The 21285-nt window shown below is 36.3% G+C and overlaps 1 protein-coding gene and 1 long non-coding RNA gene across 5 annotated transcripts in view; one reads left to right on the top strand and one right to left on the bottom strand.

Annotated features, from left to right (window-relative positions):
* Positions 1-15867, top strand: part of EDNRB (endothelin receptor type B) — an 80041-nt gene extending 64174 nt beyond the window's left edge. For 3 of the 4 annotated variants that reach the window (NM_000115.5, NM_001201397.2, NM_001122659.3), the window contains 6 exons: positions 7747-7859; positions 7994-8198; positions 10147-10296; positions 10700-10833; positions 11387-11495; positions 13020-15867. In NM_000115.5, the coding sequence (NP_000106.1) occupies positions 7747-7859; positions 7994-8198; positions 10147-10296; positions 10700-10833; positions 11387-11495; positions 13020-13154 (846 nt within the window). In that variant the 3' untranslated portion in view covers positions 13155-15867. The remainder of the gene's footprint in view (positions 1-7746; positions 7860-7993; positions 8199-10146; positions 10297-10699; positions 10834-11386; positions 11496-13019) is intronic. The other variant, NM_003991.4, reaches the window with a different exon arrangement.
* The window catches only part of EDNRB-AS1 (EDNRB antisense RNA 1), an 89506-nt gene continuing 71132 nt past the window's right edge, over positions 2912-21285 (bottom strand). The window contains exon 7 of the long non-coding RNA NR_103853.1: positions 2912-3662. This is a non-coding gene — a long non-coding RNA (EDNRB antisense RNA 1). The remainder of the gene's footprint in view (positions 3663-21285) is intronic.

Genomic DNA, 21285 nt, shown 5'->3' with positions numbered 1-21285 from the left:
AGTCTCCCATAAGATATTCCACAGATAGAATTAGGCTTAGGTATGGCATGAAGTTACTTAATAAGGTTTGTTGAATTCATGTAGTTTGCAAGTCTCGTTCTGAGCCAGGAGGCCCTCAGGTTCTCATTCTTCTGTGTCTTCAGATATCACCAGTGATCTTAGAAGATCCAGCTCAGATAAGTGAACTAATAATAGGCCAGGTTTGTGAATGGGGTTTGTTATTTCCCTTAGTTGGATCTTTTCAAAATATGTAATATGTCGGTGATAGTTTTAAAGCTCAAACTATGGATATATTTTTAAATTTAGATAATAAAAGAGTACAATCAATTTCTTTCCTGGCCTGTTACAGACTCAGAAATAAATTTCTGGTAGGAAAATATATTTGAGGTAAACTTCAATTTCTCTTAAGAAATATTTTTAAAAAATTGTTTTCTATCTCTATGTTTCTCTTAGAGATTTTGTTTCAAGAACTTTAATTCATTTTCATAAGCCATTGTTCTATTTCAGCAAGTTAGAGGAATCTTTCCAGAGCTGTGAAAAGGCCTCTGTTTTGTGGATGTGTGTGAAATAGATTCCCATGGACAGAACCGCTGCCTTGCACAACTCTAGGGGGCACTGTACTTATTGTAATCTATTGAGATGGCACCCCTGGGGGATAAGCTAACATTATTTCTGACCCACATATTTCTAACTCACATAGGCTAATCTTTAAGTGATTAAGGGCATTCTGATGGATGCAGGGTAGAACTTGTAATTTATATTTGTCCTTCAGGGCACGGTGCACTGTATGTCAAGAAGAAAATATTTCCATGCACTTGATCAGCATATTGACTCCAAATTCAAAGCTTACTTTGAACTATTTCTTTGTGTATTAATACAGAAAGAGTTCTGGCATGGAAGTCCTTTAGTGAAGGTGCCCTATCTCATTAAAACTCTAGTTCAAACACAGAAAAACTCTTAACTACTACAGGAAACAGAGACAAAAACAGAATACACCCTTTCCTAAAGTTGTGAAATGCAGCCATTCCATTATTTTCCTTTTTTGACTCTTACTGTGAAAACATTTATATAATGCCAGTCGTTTAAAGAAACGTTCACAACTTATCACAGGATGGAATAGACTGCAGTCTGGCAAAGTAATCTTGGTTGTCCTCTTAATTACACCACTCACTCATCCTCTAAAACAATCATCTCTTACAATGCTCCTATGTTTACTGCATCTACTTCCACGAAACTTAACAATCCTCTCCACAGCTGAAGCTCTTCATAGACTCCCATTACATAGTGAGAAACAGTAGGTTCTGTTTTGTATCAGTCATTGCCTTGACAAGTTTGAGTAGGAGAGAGAGGGTGGGAGAGGAATTTTTGTCGTTACCTTTTCCGCCCTGCATGGAAGAGCAGAACTCCAACAAGAGTCCAGCCCACTCTCAAGCCTCAATTCTAGAGTTTCTGACTCTATGTGCCAAGAAGACCTGATCATCAGTACTAGAAAATATAAATAGTAAATATACAGTCATGTCAATTATCTAAAGAATATATGTAGAGTATGAGAACTGAAAAGCTCATGACAAATGTTTTGTCATAGATGATTTCTGCCGTGTGATCAAATTCATTCATCCACTCATCCGTTCATCGTTACTTAACAAACATTGAATGAGTGACCACTGTGTGCCAATCACTGTACTAGGCATTATAAATGTTGTAGAATATTCTGAAACAAATAAACAGTTAAAGCTCAATGTACATTTGTAATTTAATAAAGTAGAAAAAGAAAATGCTATCTATGTTTAATGAGGTGAGTGAACATTTGCTTGTACAAGATGGTTAACTTTGACATTTCCTGACTTTATGGGGCTTGACTCCTTTTGGCATTAACAGGGGTGTGTGTTAACAGGATTTTTTTTCTTCATTTATTATCTCAAGTATGTGATTTTTAATTAAAAAGAGAAATGAAACATGTAAATCCCCTGGTTAGAGAGATTTTGTAGGATTCACTTCACAAAACCCTCAAATAAGTAAAGAATATTTGTTTCTTATTCATGCTATTTATCCTTTTAGAAAAATTTTAAACTATAATATCAAAATGACTTTATAATGTAATAGAATAATTTATTTGGATTCTCTTGCCTTGTTTCTTTCTCAAGCAGCTGTTCCAAGGTAAAGTTATAAAATCACGGTCTTTCTTGAGTAGAAATCTTTTAGCCAGTATGGCCACACCTTTTTTCAATCTAGTGTTTATTTATTTGTGTTTATCATCCAAAAGAAATGTTCTAGAGAAGCAGTATAAGCCTTAGGGTAAAATGGGTCAGCACAAACATAGGCTATCATTTTGTCAAATGGATACCATATTGCCAGCAGGACTTAACACTAACAACAGCTATTCAGTTAGATGAGACATCATGATATGAAAACCAGTGCCAGTTATGTGAGTATTGCCAACTGGCTCATATTTGATCAATGTTAGGTAACATATATTCAACTGAATTTTAAACAGGATTTAAAATTTTAATTTATGTGGAAGCGACATAGTGTCAATATTAAACTCTAAACACCCTTTTTGCGATCAGAGAGACAGCCTTTTGATTACATGTTTGAATTGTCTTCACTGTTCAGACCTTGCCCTTAAGTTATCTAATTTAATGGGGTAAAGTCCAAAGAAAAAACTAAAAATAGGGAATAAGGAATGTGTTATTGCTGGGTTTAAAGTTAGAGTTGCTTCCTCTTGCAATAAAGTGAATCCATTTCCTCTTCAGTGGGGAAAGCTGTATCCTTAGACTTCAAATTATTGATGTTAGATGTTGTTATTTTTCCCAAAGAATGATGAAGAAATGAATGTCTAAGAATCATACCCATCTATAAGAACAATCTCTCACCAAATTTTAAAGATGGCATCTTGGTTGAGAGTGAATTTTTTTTTTTTTTTTTTTGGCAAAACTTCATAGTTTTTCCCCACCAGGGATACCTTTATATTTTAGGTAAGCTTCAAGCACTAGCTTGCCTAAAGACTTTCTTGCTAGAGGCCATTAAGATGACAGAGATGAGCATCAATAGTGGGCATGGTTTCTGTCACAGAGTATCAGGCTTTGCTGGGTCTCCACAAAGCCTTCTGATCAGTGAGGCAGAGGTTAAGATTTTTAAAGGAAGAGCGTTTAGAGTCTCGCCAAAGCCATCCTTCTCACTACAAAATAATGGAAGCAACAGTGCATGCTCTTCCCACATCTTCTATGGCCTTCCAGAGCCAATAGCATCCAGTTCTAAATTGAAAGCATGAAATGCTGAAAGCTGATAAAGGTTAATGCTCTCTCTCTCTTTTTTTTTTTTTTTTTTTTTTTGCAGTCTCTTTCCCTTCAAAAGTGTAGACTAGAAAACTGTAATCTCTCCGTGGTGATTACGTGTCTGACTATCTCTCTGTTGAGCTTGAAGAGCATTGTTATAATTTTCAGTTTGTGTTTCCCTGTTTTCTGTGATAGCTTGGGTCAGAGGTTGGGCTGCAGGCCTCCAGTGGTATGAAGAGCAATAATCCAATTTCTAGGCTGAGCCAAAAACAATGGAAACCTCAAAACATGGCCTGGATTCAGTGCAGAGCTCATTTTCATCAGCCAGACTTCTTTCCCTTCAATGGTCTGGACGCTCATTCATCTTGATTCTTCTGATAGCCATACCTACAGGATAACAATATTAACATATTTGGAAATAATTTAAGACAGAATAAAATATTTTAAAATATCCAAATGTTTGTACATTATTTGAATAAAATAACTAGGGGGATTAGTCAGGGTTCTCCAGAGAAACAGAACCAGTGGGATAGATAGATGGATGGATAGGTAGATAGGTAGTTAGTAGACAGACAGATAAATAGATAATGAGGAATTGGTTTATGAGATTATAGAGGCTAAGAAGTCCCATAATTGGCCATTTGCAAGCTGCAAATATAGGAAAGCCAGTGGTGTAATTCAGTCCAAGTCCAAAGGCCTGAGAAACCAGTCTGAGGGCCAGGGGAGATGAAATGAGACATTCCAGATAGGAAGAAAAAGGGGCAAATTCCTTCTGCCTCTGCCTTTTGTTCTATTCAGGCCCTCAAGAGATTGGATAATGGCCACCCACCTAGGGTAAGGCAATCTGCTGTTCTGAGTCCACAAATTCATATACTAATTTCTTCCAGACACATCCTCACAGACACACTCAGAAATAGAGAATGTTTAATTGAGCAACCAGTGGCTGGTCAAGTTAACACATAAAGTTAACCATCGCACTAGGTGAGCAGAAGATTTTGCTCTGCATCTAGATATTTTACTATTATTTGACACATAGCTATAGGTTTAAAAAAAATTTGATTTAATTCTAAACATTTTGTTTTGTACAATCACCTCCTTCAAACCACTGTCGGGCAGGTATTATAGTGGTTGTAAGCATAGGCTCTAGACCATCTGGGTTCAAATGTGGATCTATTACTCACTTAAGTGAGCAAACAAATGCAAGCAGGCATGTGGGTTTCCTAATGAATAACAAATTACCCTACAATTTAGTGGCTTAAAACAGTAAATATTTTTTAAATCACATTGTGTCTTTGGTTTGGCAATTAAGGAGTGGCTTAGTTGGGTGGCCCTGGCTTAGGGTCTCTCAAGAAGGTACATTTAAAATACTGGCTGGGGATGCAGTTGTCCAAACGTTTGTCTAAAGCTGGAGGATCCTCTTATTCACAGACGTGGCAAATTAGTGCTTGATGTTTTCAAGAGGCCTCAGTTCTTTGCCATCTGGTTTCTCCACAGAGGTGCTTGAGTGTCCTCATGACATGGCAGCTGGCCTCCCCCAGAATAAGTGTTCCAAGAGAGAGGAAGCCAGTTCTTTAGGAACTAGTGTCAGACATCACACATCATCACTTTTGTCACATTGTATTCATTGAAAACAAATCACTAAGTCCAATCCACATTCAAAGGCAGGGAAATTAGGCTTCATGTTTTGAAGGGAGGAGTAATCAATAGCAGAATATTGTCTGAATAAGTTGTACCAGGCTGGGTCTAGCATAATCCTTGAAACCAGTTGGATAATTTTTATTCTTATTTCTAAGGGTAATTGGCAGTTCTTTTAAAGCTACATGGGTTCAAAGCTGGTTCAGACCTGTGGTGCACTGAGTCTCCCCCATTTCAGTAAATGGCTTCACCATGCACATGGTAAACCTCTGTGAGTGTCCTGACTTCCAACATCATGTGTCCAACCCATCAGCAAGTCCTGCTAGCTACCTCTACCCTTAAAATATATACAGCCTATAACCCGCTCTTCACAGCCTCAGGGCGCACAGGATCCAGCTCACCACTAGTTCTCATCAGTGCTTCCTTTCTTGGCCCTACATTCTATTCTACACTGGGCAGCAACAGTGATCTCTTGAAAAATATGTTAGATCATGCCATTTCCCTTCTTCAAACCTTGCAATGAACTCCCTCAAAAAAAGCATTCAAATTCTTCCCTCTACAACTTCATTTTCCATGCATTTGGGCTGGGTCAGTCTTCTCCAGCTTTAGTAGCTAGTAGCCTCATTGCTGTACCTCCAGTTCACCAGGCTTGTTTTGACCTCAGGGCGTTTGCACATGCTCTTGCCTCTGCCTAGAATGCTCTTCGCATGGCTTACTGTCTTATTTCAGTCAAGTCTCTCCTCAAATGCTGTCTCTTCAGGGTGACCTTACTGAGAAGCTTATCAAGAAAACACCTCAAATCCCACCCTCACTCAATATGATCACAGCCTCTGTTTAACACCATTTTAAGTATGTATGTGTTTTTTGTCTGCCTCCCTCACTATAGTGTAAACTCCATGAGAGCAGGAGTGCTCAGAATGGTGTCTGGCACATAGTGAATGCTCAATAAATATTCATTGAATGAATGAATGAACAAGCAGAATTAATGAGTCAGTTGATTAACCCAGAAGTCACAAGATAGAGGCTATGATGGCTCACAGATGTATTTTGATAATACAATGTTATATGAGAGTTTTTTAAAAATATATATGAATTGGACTTTAATAAATTGTGAGATTCATATAAAAATTCCAATCTGGGTTCTTTAGAAAAATCAAGAGATTTTTGTATTTGGAGCCCCTTAGCAAAAAGTATGTGATGTCTACTAGCAGCTGCTCCTTTCAGACAAAGTTTACCCCAGACCCCACCCCACTCCCTGTCATCTTCCTGACACCAATGACTTTCTGAGACCTGGCACCCTCCACTTCTCTGTGTTACCTGCCTGGCCCTGTAGGTCTTCAGGATCCTACATTAAGCATATATATGATAAGTCTGCCAACTTTTGTCCTACATGTCTGTGTAAGTTTTGATATCTAACTTAGAAATGAAGTTGGTCCTATGTTGAATCTCCAAGTCAAATTCATTATGAGACAAACATTTTAGCCTTTGACGTCATTCTAGTTATAGAACAATCAACTCAGCTTGACAAACTCGGTAGAGTCTTCACTACTAGTGAAAGGATGGAAAGACTCCATTGTGTCTCAAAATAATTTTCACTTTTGCAAGGTTGTTTTTCAAACTATTTTTAAGACCCATGGATTTGAAATACTTTTATTTTCAAAACCTCATGAACATTTGATCCAGATGTTCACCTAAAATGATTCATTTACCAGTGTGGGACACACCATATTGTCCTAAGAAAGAAAATAACCACATTTAATAATAGATGGTTTCATAGTCTGCAGTCAGATAAAGAGAAATATATACGTGTACATATATACACACTATATATATATAACATACTATGTGTGTGTATAAATATATATCTATAATAGCAATAACTATGTCTTCTTGCTCCTTATACAGCCAGTCACTGTTATATTTTAGAGTCTATGAATCAAGCACTGTTAATATTAAACATCTGCTATGTGTCAGGCACTGTTCTAGGCAGTTGTGGAGCTCATAGTCTGTCTTACACTCCAGGGATCCAGACAGAAAAAAATCTAAGCAAACAAATAAGTTAATGTGTTATGCCACAGGAATTGATAGACTATGGATAAAAAGGAAAAGAGAGTAGGGAGATAGGGATGTCTGACCGGTTACGGTATCTAATAGTGTGATCAAGGTAAGTCATGTTGAAAAGATGAAATTTGAGTAAGACCTGAAGGAGATAAGCGAGTTAACCAGGTGAATCTGTGGGGAAAGAGCCTTCTAGGATAAGGAAGGACCTACAGCGAAAGCCCTAAGTAGGAATGTGCCTGGTGTGTTTGAGCAACTGTGTAGCTACTCCTACTGAATGATTGTTCAGTTAGGTAAACTGACTGCAATGAAGAACAAGTGCCTGAATGCACATGCTGTTCTGCATGGAGTACTACTTCAGTAGGGAAGTCTGGTCTCCTCAGCTAAGGACTGTTTATCATTCAATTTTAATTAACCCATATTTTGCTTTGGCCATGATCTGGGCATTTCAGACTCCATGACAGTATACAGGTTCAATTTTCAGGAGGAACTTAAGCGACTGGCTCAAGTTTGCTCTGATGAGGTGAGCTGAACTCTAAGCTACTGTATACGCATGATGACTTCTTATAAGCTGGCTGCATTTTCATCAATCCCAACACACTTTCCTGTCCCATACATATATCAAACAATGGTGCTTTTCAAAGAAGTAGTCCATGAGAAAAAGAATGACAACCAGAGTTTATCCTACTCTGCATGTTAATTACTCTTCACTAAGTGATACAATTCAGAGGGCATCTTATGAAACCCCCTAACAGAGCTTCGTGTCTTCTCAATGCAGCTGCTGGCAGAGGACTGGCCATTTGGAGCTGAGATGTGTAAGCTGGTGCCTTTCATACAGAAAGCCTCTGTGGGAATCACTGTGCTGAGTCTATGTGCTCTGAGTATTGACAGGTAGAAGCTTCTATTTAATCCAAGTATATTCTGAATATATACTATTGTTTTCCATGTTACTTAGAAAATAAACTGTGCAATTCAATAAAACTAAGGTATGCCAGCTTAAAATACAATTCTATTTTTATCTTCAGATATCGAGCTGTTGCTTCTTGGAGTAGAATTAAAGGAATTGGGGTTCCAAAATGGACAGCAGTAGAAATTGTTTTGATTTGGGTGGTCTCTGTGGTTCTGGCTGTCCCTGAAGCCATAGGTTTTGATATAATTACGATGGACTACAAAGGAAGTTATCTGCGAATCTGCTTGCTTCATCCCGTTCAGAAGACAGCTTTCATGCAGGTAAATTTCACTTTTTTTATTTTCCTTTCTGCTCTTGCCTTATAAATATTTAGCTATTTTTCCCCTGTTCCCCACTCCTTGGGAAACTGTTGATTTATGACTGTCCTTGGCATAAATTAAGAGTATAGATCCAAGGACTGTGGAGTTAATGGTGATCAATGACTCAAGCTGCAAGAAGCTAGATCACTACTTCTCTAAGAATCCCCTTGATCTCAGTGGCATAGATAAACCAGGTCCACATGAAAGAATTGATGTGAATTTATAGCTTTCTACCTAAAGCCATGTTAGAAGTAAAATGTTTGGTGCCACAAAGTGAAAATAGCACTCAGGCAAAAGTTTTCTCAGCAAGGCAATTTACTTCTATAGAAGGTTGTGTCTCACAATGGAGCAATGGCGAGAGCACACCAGACAAGGGAGGGGAAGGGGGTGTTATCCCTGATGTAGCTAGTTCCCACTGCTGCATCTTTCCCCTATTGGGTAGGGTTGGACCGCACAGTCTAAGTTAATTCCAATTGGCTATTTTAAAAAGAGCAGGGGTACGAGCTGGAGTGGTGGGGTGAGTAGTTTCAGCGGGAAGGACAGTTACAGAGCAGGTGGCTAAGGATGACTAAGGTCAGAGCAGGTGGCTAAGGATGACTAAGGACAGAGCAGGTGACTAAGGATGACTAAGGACAGAGCAGGTGATGAAGGATAACTAAGGAAAGAGCAGGTGATAGAGGCTAGGAGGGGGTTGTTTACTGAAACTAGGGGCAAGGAGATGTAAAGAATGAGGGAGTTAAACTTTAAAATGGAGAACAAAGAACAGGGAAGCTGAACACACTGACATATTGGTTCTTTGAAGAGGAATTTACTGTATCCTACAGCCCCATAAGGACTGACAACTACTACGTAATCTGCACAAGATAGCCCAGTAGTTGTCAGAGGAATGGATGGTCCAGCAAATATTCAGATAGAAGTCACCCTGATATGGATGGAGTCTGAATGGCAAGACTCCCCTCTCTCTGTCTTTGATGCCAAAAAGAAAGCTGCCATTGCAAGAAACTTTTCATCCTGGTCATTTATTAAAGAACATTTGATTAGGGAATAGAAAAAGAATGATGATACTCGTTTCCAGAAGATAGATCCTGAGTGTAAAAGGCTCTTCCCAACAGAATGAGTTAAGAGACATTAATGCAAAGGGGGCTGGCTTAACTATTCCCAATGATTATTTTCTATTGAATATATAAGGAGACTAAATAAAACTTTATGAACTGTATATATCATGATAAGTAAAAGAATCAAGGACATAATGTGAAATTGAAAATGAAATTGCTATTTCCTTGTTTCCTATTAGTAAAAAGAAAAAAAAAGTGCTGCCTAGGTTACATAATTTCCTCTCCAACACAGATATATCTAAAGCAATATGAAAAAGATAACAGAGAAGAAAAAGAATAAGAGATACGACATAAGTCAAAAGCAGATTTTGTCTTTTTGCGAGGTTAGATTTATATGTTACTGAGCTAAATGGTTAACCTAGACCTTTTCGTATCTGTTGTTCCCATTAAACAAACTTGCTAAAAAATGAGAACTTCATCTAAACACTAAGTTATCTTTACATATTTAGGTGTTATATTTCACACAAAAAATACTCTAAGGATAAGTTTCTTATGTGAAGACAAAGCATTGAATTACCAAATATTTCAAATTTTGCCTAACTACTTAAGTTTTTGTGCATGCTTATAACACATTGTCTTAGAGAACTGAAATATTTTTGGGAAAATTTGTTTTATTTAACATGACTATTTATTTGTTCAGTAAGTGTGGCCTGAAAGATTCTGTATGATATATACAAACTGGATCTAATTTAGAAGATAATCATTCCCTGATGAATTTTTTTAAGTTTAACATTTGTTATATAAGATTTTCTTACAGAGGAGTATTAATCGTAAAAATTCTCTCATCCCTATAGTTTTACAAGACAGCAAAAGATTGGTGGCTATTCAGTTTCTATTTCTGCTTGCCATTGGCCATCACTGCATTTTTTTATACACTAATGACCTGTGAAATGTTGAGAAAGAAAAGTGGCATGCAGATTGCTTTAAATGATCACCTAAAGCAGGTAAGAAAATACAAATATTTGATAACTCGTGGTTGAATTTATAATTATGAATATGAAAATTATGATGATGATGATGATAAACTAACATTATTATATACCAGAGCATATTTCCTTTTTCTTGTTTCTGGTAGTTTTAAATAGATAAAGAATATTTTTATATTATTTATTTGGAGATATTCTATATAATCTAAAAGGATCTAGGGAGAATCAGAACTTTTTAAAGATGAATCTCTAGTCACTTCGGTTCCACTTCACATTAACTATTCCATATAAAGCTCAGTGTCCTGAGTTTTTACATATGCCACTGACTTTTTGTAGACAATATTAAATGTCGTTTTAGAAGATAGAATGCTATGAGTAAAATGAGCCATCTTTTAAGGGTCAAACTATGGATTTATTTCAGAGACGGGAAGTGGCCAAAACCGTCTTTTGCCTGGTCCTTGTCTTTGCCCTCTGCTGGCTTCCCCTTCACCTCAGCAGGATTCTGAAGCTCACTCTTTATAATCAGAATGATCCCAATAGATGTGAACTTTTGAGGTAAGAAAGGCAAACTAGAAATGGTTTTGTAAATAAATGCCACTCAGAAGTGTTTCCATCGATCTTTTTTATAGGCAGAAAGACAGACTACCATTTTTCTAACCCTTAGGAAGTCATGGAGACTCCCAATTTTTATCTGAGGTCCTGTTGAGAGGGACAGGGAAGGGGGGGTATGAAGAACACTGGGTACAGAGAGTCAGAGTTGTCAAGATGATGAGTGAGTGCCAAGGCGGAAAATGTCAGGTCCGATTCTCCAACGCGTTTTCTAAATTTCTTCTTTTCAGCCAGCTTCAGTACTTCCAAATGAGATTTTATTTTAAAAGAGAAGAATTGGGCCTGGGAAGGGGAAATGGAGGAAAGTCAGTAGAAATGCTAGAGTTAGAGGGGGACACAGACAGAGACAGGCAGAGAATCATTGTTAGCAAAGACGAGTGATAAATTTAGAACCATTGTATATTGGCATTTTTTTTCCTTACAAAAGCACAGAAGCTACAATGACTACATGTTCAGAATAGCATATTTTTCAGACACATTTTGGGTTATTTTGTTGCAGCTTTCTGTTGGTATTGGACTATATTGGTATCAACATGGCTTCACTGAATTCCTGCATTAACCCAATTGCTCTGTATTTGGTGAGCAAAAGATTCAAAAACTGCTTTAAGGTAAGAGACTATCCCAAAATAAAAAGCTCTTTGTAATATGGCTCAAATATAAGCTTTCAAAACTGCTAATATATCTATCCAGACAGATTTAGTAAATTATCTTATAGTTTCCCTTTTATTACATCATGGATGATTTTTTTAAATACAACTTTTGCTTGTAAATCACTATAATTGTTTTTTCCTATAAATCCTAGTCAGCCACTCCCTACTGCCTCAGCCAATCAGTTACACTCATGGAATTGTTGACCAAAAAGTAATAAAAATTACATGCATTGATGTCTGATAGGCATCACATAATAAAATAAGGGCTAAACATGAATTAAAGGCCCTGTTCCCTGTTTTTGGTAGATTCTGAACTTCGCAGCTGCAATTATTATTATAACTAAATTAGTTCCTTTTTCACATGGACTGTGAGAATAGCAAGGTAAACAAAAAAAAAATAGTTTAGGTTTTACCTCTTTCTTCCTTTTTTGTATAACAGTGATGTGCTGTTCAATGTGAAATACATATAATTCCTTCTTCAGCTGCTTGCATTTTATCATCCTTCTATTCATTCACTCCTTCAACAATCTAACATGAAATAAAATATCCCCTCCCCTAATGTGAAAATCATCCATTTGTCCATGGTATTTCACTACTGGAAAGCTAAGAACGTAGCTCCCGCGTAAACACTAAGGCAGCCTATAACATTCTTCGCCCACTCATAACTCAAATTTTAGAGTTGGAAGAGAACTTCCATCAGGATCAACACCCTCATTTTATAAGACATAAAACAGTGGACTTCTCATTTTCTTTTACAAATAGAATGAACAGAAGACAAGCAGAATGAAAAAATTTTTATATTTAAAAAAACTTCAAGAAAAAAATTGAAGAAAACTGAGATGCTTTTGTACTATATAACCTTATTGTTTACCAATATTGAAAAGAGATATGAGAATACATGGCTGAAAAAATAGGAAAGCAGTATTAAATTCATTGACATGAGAAGATATTTATGTCACTGTCAAGTGAGAAAAAGCAGGTTAAATCTTCTCAGCAAAGTGGCTTAGAATAACTTGGGATGAGGTGTTTGTGAAAGTATCTACAAGGTTATGGAGTATACATACAGTACAGTCTCAGTAAAATAATTATACTCACATTCTCCAGCACATGCACATATACATGTGTATAATTTATTTATTTCATGTATGTGCAAATATTTCTGTTTTCATGGGGAAAAGTCTTGAATTATATGTTTATCAAATATTATCAAATAACCAAGAGTAAATATCAATTAAAAGTGGCTTTCTCTTGTTGAGAAATTTTAACTATGTAGGTTTTTTTCTTCTCTGCATTTTTTTAGTTAAAAAATTATCATATGCTACTACTGTGATTATATTCTTTTAAGAGGGAAAATAAAAGAGCACTGAAAGAAAGGGCCCAAGAACTCCTAATCATACAAAGAAAGTCAGAACCCTGGAGAGGAGGAAGAGTTGGGAAAGGTGACTGATGTTAACATATAATGAGTTACTTTGTTTTGTACAGTCATGCTTATGCTGCTGGTGCCAGTCATTTGAAGAAAAACAGTCCTTGGAGGAAAAGCAGTCGTGCTTAAAGTTCAAAGCTAATGATCACGGATATGACAACTTCCGTTCCAGTAATAAATACAGCTCATCTTGAAAGAAGAACTATTCACTGTATTTCATTTTCTTTATATTGGACCGAAGTCATTAAAACAAAATGAAACATTTGCCAAAACAAAACAAAAAACTATGTATTTGCACAGCACACTATTAAAATATTAAGTGTAATTATTTTAACACTCACAGCTACATATGACATTTTATGAGCTGTTTACGGCATGGAAAGAAAATCAGTGGGAATTAAGAAAGCCTCGTCGTGAAAGCACTTAATTTTTTACAGTTAGCACTTCAACATAGCTCTTAACAACTTCCAGGATATTCACACAACACTTAGGCTTAAAAATGAGCTCACTCAGAATTTCTATTCTTTCTAAAAAGAGATTTATTTTTAAATCAATGGGACTCTGATATAAAGGAAGAATAAGTCACTGTAAAACAGAACTTTTAAATGAAGCTTAAATTACTCAATTTAAAATTTTAAAATCCTTTAAAACAACTTTTCAATTAATATTATCACACTATTATCAGATTGTAATTAGATGCAAATGAGAGAGCAGTTTAGTTGTTGCATTTTTCGGACACTGGAAACATTTAAATGATCAGGAGGGAGTAACAGAAAGAGCAAGGCTGTTTTTGAAAATCATTACACTTTCACTAGAAGCCCAAACCTCAGCATTCTGCAATATGTAACCAACATGTCACAAACAAGCAGCATGTAACAGACTGGCACATGTGCCAGCTGAATTTAAAATATAATACTTTTAAAAAGAAAATTATTACATCCTTTACATTCAGTTAAGATCAAACCTCACAAAGAGAAATAGAATGTTTGAAAGGCTATCCCAAAAGACTTTTTTGAATCTGTCATTCACATACCCTGTGAAGACAATACTATCTACAATTTTTTCAGGATTATTAAAATCTTCTTCTTTCACTATCGTAGCTTAAACTCTGTTTGGTTTTGTCATCTGTAAATACTTACCTACATACACTGCATGTAGATGATTAAATGAGGGCAGGCCCTGTGCTCATAGCTTTACGATGGAGAGATGCCAGTGACCTCATAATAAAGACTGTGAACTGCCTGGTGCAGTGTCCACATGACAAAGGGGCAGGTAGCACCCTCTCTCACCCATGCTGTGGTTAAAATGGTTTCTAGCATATGTATAATGCTATAGTTAAAATACTATTTTTCAAAATCATACAGATTAGTACATTTAACAGCTACCTGTAAAGCTTATTACTAATTTTTGTATTATTTTTGTAAATAGCCAATAGAAAAGTTTGCTTGACATGGTGCTTTTCTTTCATCTAGAGGCAAAACTGCTTTTTGAGACCGTAAGAACCTCTTAGCTTTGTGCGTTCCTGCCTAATTTTTATATCTTCTAAGCAAAGTGCCTTAGGATAGCTTGGGATGAGATGTGTGTGAAAGTATGTACAAGAGAAAACGGAAGAGAGAGGAAATGAGGTGGGGTTGGAGGAAACCCATGGGGACAGATTCCCATTCTTAGCCTAACGTTCGTCATTGCCTCGTCACATCAATGCAAAAGGTCCTGATTTTGTTCCAGCAAAACACAGTGCAATGTTCTCAGAGTGACTTTCGAAATAAATTGGGCCCAAGAGCTTTAACTCGGTCTTAAAATATGCCCAAATTTTTACTTTGTTTTTCTTTTAATAGGCTGGGCCACATGTTGGAAATAAGCTAGTAATGTTGTTTTCTGTCAATATTGAATGTGATGGTACAGTAAACCAAAACCCAACAATGTGGCCAGAAAGAAAGAGCAATAATAATTAATTCACACACCATATGGATTCTATTTATAAATCACCCACAAACTTGTTCTTTAATTTCATCCCAATCACTTTTTCAGAGGCCTGTTATCATAGAAGTCATTTTAGACTCTCAATTTTAAATTAATTTTGAATCACTAATATTTTCACAGTTTATTAATATATTTAATTTCTATTTAAATTTTAGATTATTTTTATTACCATGTACTGAATTTTTACATCCTGATACCTTTTCCTTCTCCATGTCAGTATCATGTTCTCTAATTATCTTGCCAAATTTTGAAACTACACACAAAAAGCATACTTGCATTATTTATAATAAAATTGCATTCAGTGGCTTTTTAAAAAAATGTTTGATTCAAAACTTTAACATACTGATAAGTAAGAAACAATTATAATTTCTTTACATACTCAAAACCAAGATAGAAAAAGGTGCTATCGTTCAACTTCAAAACATGTTTCCTAGTATTAAGGACTTTAATATAGCAACAGACAAAATTATTGTTAACATGGATGTTACAGCTCAAAAGATTTATAAAAGATTTTAACCTATTTTCTCCCTTATTATCCACTGCTAATGTGGATGTATGTTCAAACACCTTTTAGTATTGATAGCTTACATATGGCCAAAGGAATACAGTTTATAGCAAAACATGGGTATGCTGTAGCTAACTTTATAAAAGTGTAATATAACAATGTAAAAAATTATATATCTGGGAGGATTTTTTGGTTGCCTAAAGTGGCTATAGTTACTGATTTTTTATTATGTAAGCAAAACCAATAAAAATTTAAGTTTTTTTAACAACTACCTTATTTTTCACTGTACAGACACTAATTCATTAAATACTAATTGATTGTTTAAAAGAAATATAAATGTGACAAGTGGACATTATTTATGTTAAATATACAATTATCAAGCAAGTATGAAGTTATTCAATTAAAATGCCACATTTCTGGTCTCTGGGCTGGACTGTGTGTTTCATTGTTGTGAAGAAACAGATATACAGACATGCAACTTCCCAAGGTTGATTTTCCGGGTAATAGTTTCCAATGGCCTCTTTGGTCTTCCTTTCTTTGGTTCCCTGCCTTTGGAGCACTTCATTGTTTCATCATTATTGTACCTTAGCAAAGGTGAAAGTTTGAAATGAGGTTTAGGGATTGCTCATTGCATTTCACAAGCTTTTTTTGAGTGTTTTCTATGTGAAAGATGAGATGAAATTCACAAAATGCAAGGTCCCTACTTGATAAGAGACAGTGATGATAAACTTTAATATGAGGCAAAATGAAATGAGCACTAAATAACTGCATACTGATTGCTGCAGAAGTTCACCTGTCTGTGTCTCTCAGCATGTAATCCCTTTCTTCACCCAACAAAAATAATCCAGAATTAGCAATTGCTTTTTTCCCAGACAGTAAGGTCAAACCCAGCCGAGTATTCCAGAGGTTGCTATCATTTACCCCTGACCTTTCCTGGATTTCAGCTGCCTAATTTTAGCTGGCACTTCAAAATACAAGTGTTCTGAATCCCAAGGGCCATATGAGAAGTACAGAAAAGGATAACATAGGAAATACTCTCGTAGAGCAGTTGCCAAAAAGAGCCTTTGTTTTCTTGAACAGTTAGTTGTTAAGCAATAATAATAATAATGCCATCACAATTTATTATAGTAAAAGTATGCAGAAAAAATATAATTTACATAAGCCGAAGAAAACCAAGAGATGTGCAGCTCAAAGATGTAGAGGTCCAGAAATTCAAAAATTGTACAGGCCAAGCTTATAGAAAGCAGTGACTCTGGCATGACTGACTGACTAGCAAACATTATTAGTCAGCCTTTGAAATGACACACATTTAAAAATCAAAAGATTGAATAAGTATAATCAAATTTAGAAGTCCTGTTGAACACTTCCCGGATTCAAGACTCACTTGAGCAGAGGGAATAACCCTATCATGTTAGAAAGGAAGTATGTATGATCAGAAAAACAACGAAAGTCCAAAAAGTGTGATATCCTTGATTGTGTCTGCAATTTAGTTGACCTCAAACAAGTCAGTTAACATATCAGAGCTTCAGTTTAATTATCTATAAAATATAAATATTAATATATTTACTAATTCTTACATCCAATCAATACATGTTAGTATATGTACTATATAAAATACCACCAATGTATAAGTATACAAAAATGCAAAAGGCATAGCTACTGCCCTCTGGAAACTCACAATCTAATAGAGAACACAGACACATAAACAAATAAAGGCAGTTAATACATTTTAGGTACCCAAATATAGATATGTGCATAGTAAGAATCCCGGAGTTTAGGAGAACTCATCCAAGAAGATGGTACTCAAGTTGAGCCTTAAAGGAAGTTTGCTAAGCTAAGAAGGGTTTAATGGCATTACTGGAAAAATTACTATCATCCAAGAAATGTGAAAGGGGTAAAGGAACATGGCCAGTTCAGGTGAAGGGTTGACCCGTAACATGCTGGAGAGGGGTTGTGAGAGGCAGGGCTGGAGATGCAGGCAGGTCAGGAAGAACTCACATTCTTGGATGAGTTCTCCTCAACTCCAGGATTCTTACCATCTACATATCTATATTTGAATATCTAAAACACATTAACTCCCTTTATTTGTTTATGTGTCTATCTTCTCTATTAGATTGTGAGTTCCCAGATGGCAAGAGCTATGCTTTTTACATTTTTGTATGCTTACACATTGGTGGGTAAACTATAATCATATAGCTGTTTGCTCTTTACCATGGGCTAGTGTTTCTCAAGTATCTGAAGACCATATATCACAGAGTCATTTTGGATGATTTATTAAAAATGCGAATTCCTGGCTCCCAACTCTGAACTATACAATCAGAACTCCCAGGATGGGACCCAGAAATATTTACTTTAATGAATACTTCAAGTAGCCCTTACGCACCTAAAATTGGAGAAGCGCTACCATATAGATATTTGCAAAACATTGAGTATTTTCAACAAACAGTCACAGGATTAAGTTCTGCTTGCCTAAGACTGCTTTGAAAACAGCGTAGAACATGGGCTAAAGGACTACAAGACAGAAAGCGGACAGACTGGATAAACAGCTACCACAATTAACAGGTGAAAAGATGCAGCTCTGAGAGAGGAAAGTGTGCAGGCCGGGCTGTAGAAACAGGGCAGATCTGGAAGGGCGGAGTCAGCAGGGCATACTGGCCAGATGTGAGAGAGGAAGCTCAGTTAAGAGGTTTCTGGTTAGCATGGCCATTAACCTAGACCAGGGGTCAACAAACTATGGCCAGAGGGCCAAATCCAGCCTGCTGGTCTGTTTTTGTAAATAAAATCCTATTGGAATGCAGTCAGACCCATTTGCTTATGTATCGATTAAGCTTGCCTTCCACCGTAACAGCATAGTTGAATAGTTAACAGAAACATACAAATGGCCTAAAATATTTACTATCTGGCCTTTCCAGAAAAATATTTCTGACCCCTGATTTAAATAAGAAATATTAAAGAAAAAGAGAGGCAGCAATTGAGTTGAAAGAGAAAAGAGTTCTGGGGATGTAATGAATTCCATTTGGAAAATAATGACTTAAGGTATCATAGAGCATTCACAGAGAAAATTAGGAGGCATCTCTGGGTTAAAGACACAAACTTGTTTATTATGGTTTCAAGATGCTAATTAAAGAAGGGGGTGAATAGCAATACTAGAGGAGAAGTCAAAGAGTAGAAAAAAAGGAAACAAGAGATGGAGAGTAAACTGGCAGAGGTCCCAAATGCAAGAAGACTGGGCAGAGAAGAGAAATTCAGAACAGACTGCAAGGAACAAAGAAAACTGGTGTCATGAAAGTCTAGAGGAAGGGGATGCCAAGGCAAAGGAGTAGGCTGAGAATCTGAGCAAAATGAACAGAAAAGAGATCTTTGTAACTGACAATCTGAAAAACATCAGAGACCTCATCTAAAGCAGTTTGTGTGTATGCATGTTGTGTGTGTGTGTGTGTGTGTGTTTGCGTGTGAAAGAGAGAGACAGAGGACAATATATCTCTGTTTTCTTATTTCCTGTACATATATATATATATACATACACATATATATATTTTACACATATATGTATCATATATAATGTAACTTTAGTAGTAGAGAAGGATTAATGGTTAAATATAGTGGATTAAACATATATGTGTTTTTCCTCATCCTTCTTCTAAAATTCCACTAAAATGACAAAAAAAAATAAATATATAAACCCACAAGGACAGAGATGAAAGAGATGACACCAGCCAACTAGAAATGTTAACAAAATTGTGTAAGATGGAAACCAGGTAGATGGACAACTTATTCAGATTTTTGCTTTCTCTACTAAATGTCTATCCAAGAAGCAAGGAGGCTGACATGGTTCACAACCCAGACCTGCCTCAGGAAGGGAGGCAGCAGCTTCCTTGGAAGGGAAGACAAGGGACTGAAGTAAGGCCAAAAATGAAAGAATTGATTCTAAGTCTAACAGATCCTGGCGTCCATAATTTCCCTATATAATCAGTATTGTTGAAAGTCAGATGACTTATTTTCTGAAGAGGTTGTGCCAGATTTTCTCTGGACTTTGGACTTCATCACAGCAAGAACAGCTGAAGGTAGAAATGTGGCCCCTGTCTGCAATAAAAAAGATTTAGCAAAGACTTGCCCCATAAACAGTGAGATCTTTAGCCCACATCCCTTTTAGCAGTGACTAGCAGCCTTATATGTCCCAGCAAGAGAATGGAGATTCTGTTCTGAAAAAATAACCTGCCCCAGGGAAAAAAATACCCACAAATATCAACATCAGAGTGAGAAGGGTTCTCACTGAAATGGGCTATGTTCTTGCTCCTTTCTGCCCACGTACATAGAATTTCCCAGTGGCCTCTTTGTGCCACATTTTGAAACGTGAATGAGTAGGCAAAAGCCAGTAGACCTTTTAGGAAACACAGAGCAATAAGAAACAAGAAGCAAAGCCAGTGTGATATATGAGAAAAAGGAACATTCAGAGATCGAGAAAGTGCTCTTGGAAACTGAAAATATGCTAGGAGAAATAAAACACAGTAAAAGAGTTTCAACAGTCAAAGTTGAGAAAAGTAGAATATGAAGTTACTCTGCCAAAGTGTGTTTCCACAAAACTAAGGAAGAAAATGAAGGAATCCAGGAAACAGGTGACTCCAACACAGGAAATACTCAAAAGCTATTCCCAAGATGATAGAGGGGAAAAAAAACCTAGCCTGTCTATGAAGCAATCAGTCAATCTGTCTTGTTAAAAGCAGAAGAGCAGAGGAAGAGTATCTCCAAGGAAACATACAACATATGGGAGTTTGTAGTCCCATGAGAGCATCCGAGGATAAATGAATGACAGCTACATAGAACAGCAAGCAAACAAGAAGAAATTAGACAATTGTTAGTCTCCCCCAAAATTCTTGCTTATATAGAAAAAATATATATAATCATAGCTATATAGCTTGGATATGAGCAAATTCACCTTGTCTAAATAAACACTAAAATTGTTTTAAACAAAACTGTGACATGAATAAATTGAAAGAAAAAGTAGAAGGAAAGTGTGCTTGATAGTTATGGCTTAAGAAAGTCACATCTTAATTTTCAATAGTAAAAATCCAACATTCACTTTGGGAAACAATTGAGGAGCATCTAGGAAAGTTGAAGATGCTAATCCTATGATTAAAAACATTCCACTTATAGAGAAACCACTTGTATGAACAGGATATAGACACCAAAATATTCACAGAAGCATTGTTTCATCCAAAAATGAAAACAATTCAAGCTCCATCAGCTATAGTTTAAATAACTAAATTTTGTGGTATATCCATACAATGGAACCCTCTTCAACAGGTTTCTTGACCTCAGCACTATTGACATTTTGGCCCAGAAAACTGCTTGTTATGGGGGTTATCCTGTATTTGGTAGGATGCTAGGAACATCCCTAGCCCCAACCAGTAGACACCAGTATTGTTCCCCCCTCCCCAGGTGTGACAACCACAATGTTTCCAGACATTGTCAAATGTCTCCTAGGGGAGAGCTGCTCCCATGGAGAACTGCAGCACTACTGTATGAGCCCATTAATATAAAGTTCAAAATCTGGGAAAACCAAGCTCTATTTTACAGAGATGCATACATAGTTGATTTAAAAAATAAGCAAAGGAAGGCAAGGAAATGTATTATACAAATAAGGACAATTGCTATTCTTGAGAGACAGAGGACAGTTGTGATTTGGAAGAGATGTATGGGGATCTTTTGGCCTTGGAGCAGTAATTATGATGATGATGATGATGTTATTAATTTATAAGTTTATTCTTCATGTAAATGTACTTGTTAATGTGTAATACAGTTATATGTGTAATGTGTAATTCAGTTATAATATGTGTAAT

The sequence above is a fragment of the Homo sapiens genome, chromosome 13 (genome assembly GCF_000001405.40).
Source record: "Homo sapiens chromosome 13, GRCh38.p14 Primary Assembly".
Lineage (NCBI taxonomy): Eukaryota > Metazoa > Chordata > Mammalia > Primates > Hominidae > Homo > Homo sapiens.
This window is presented reverse-complemented; position numbering and strand designations above follow the sequence as displayed.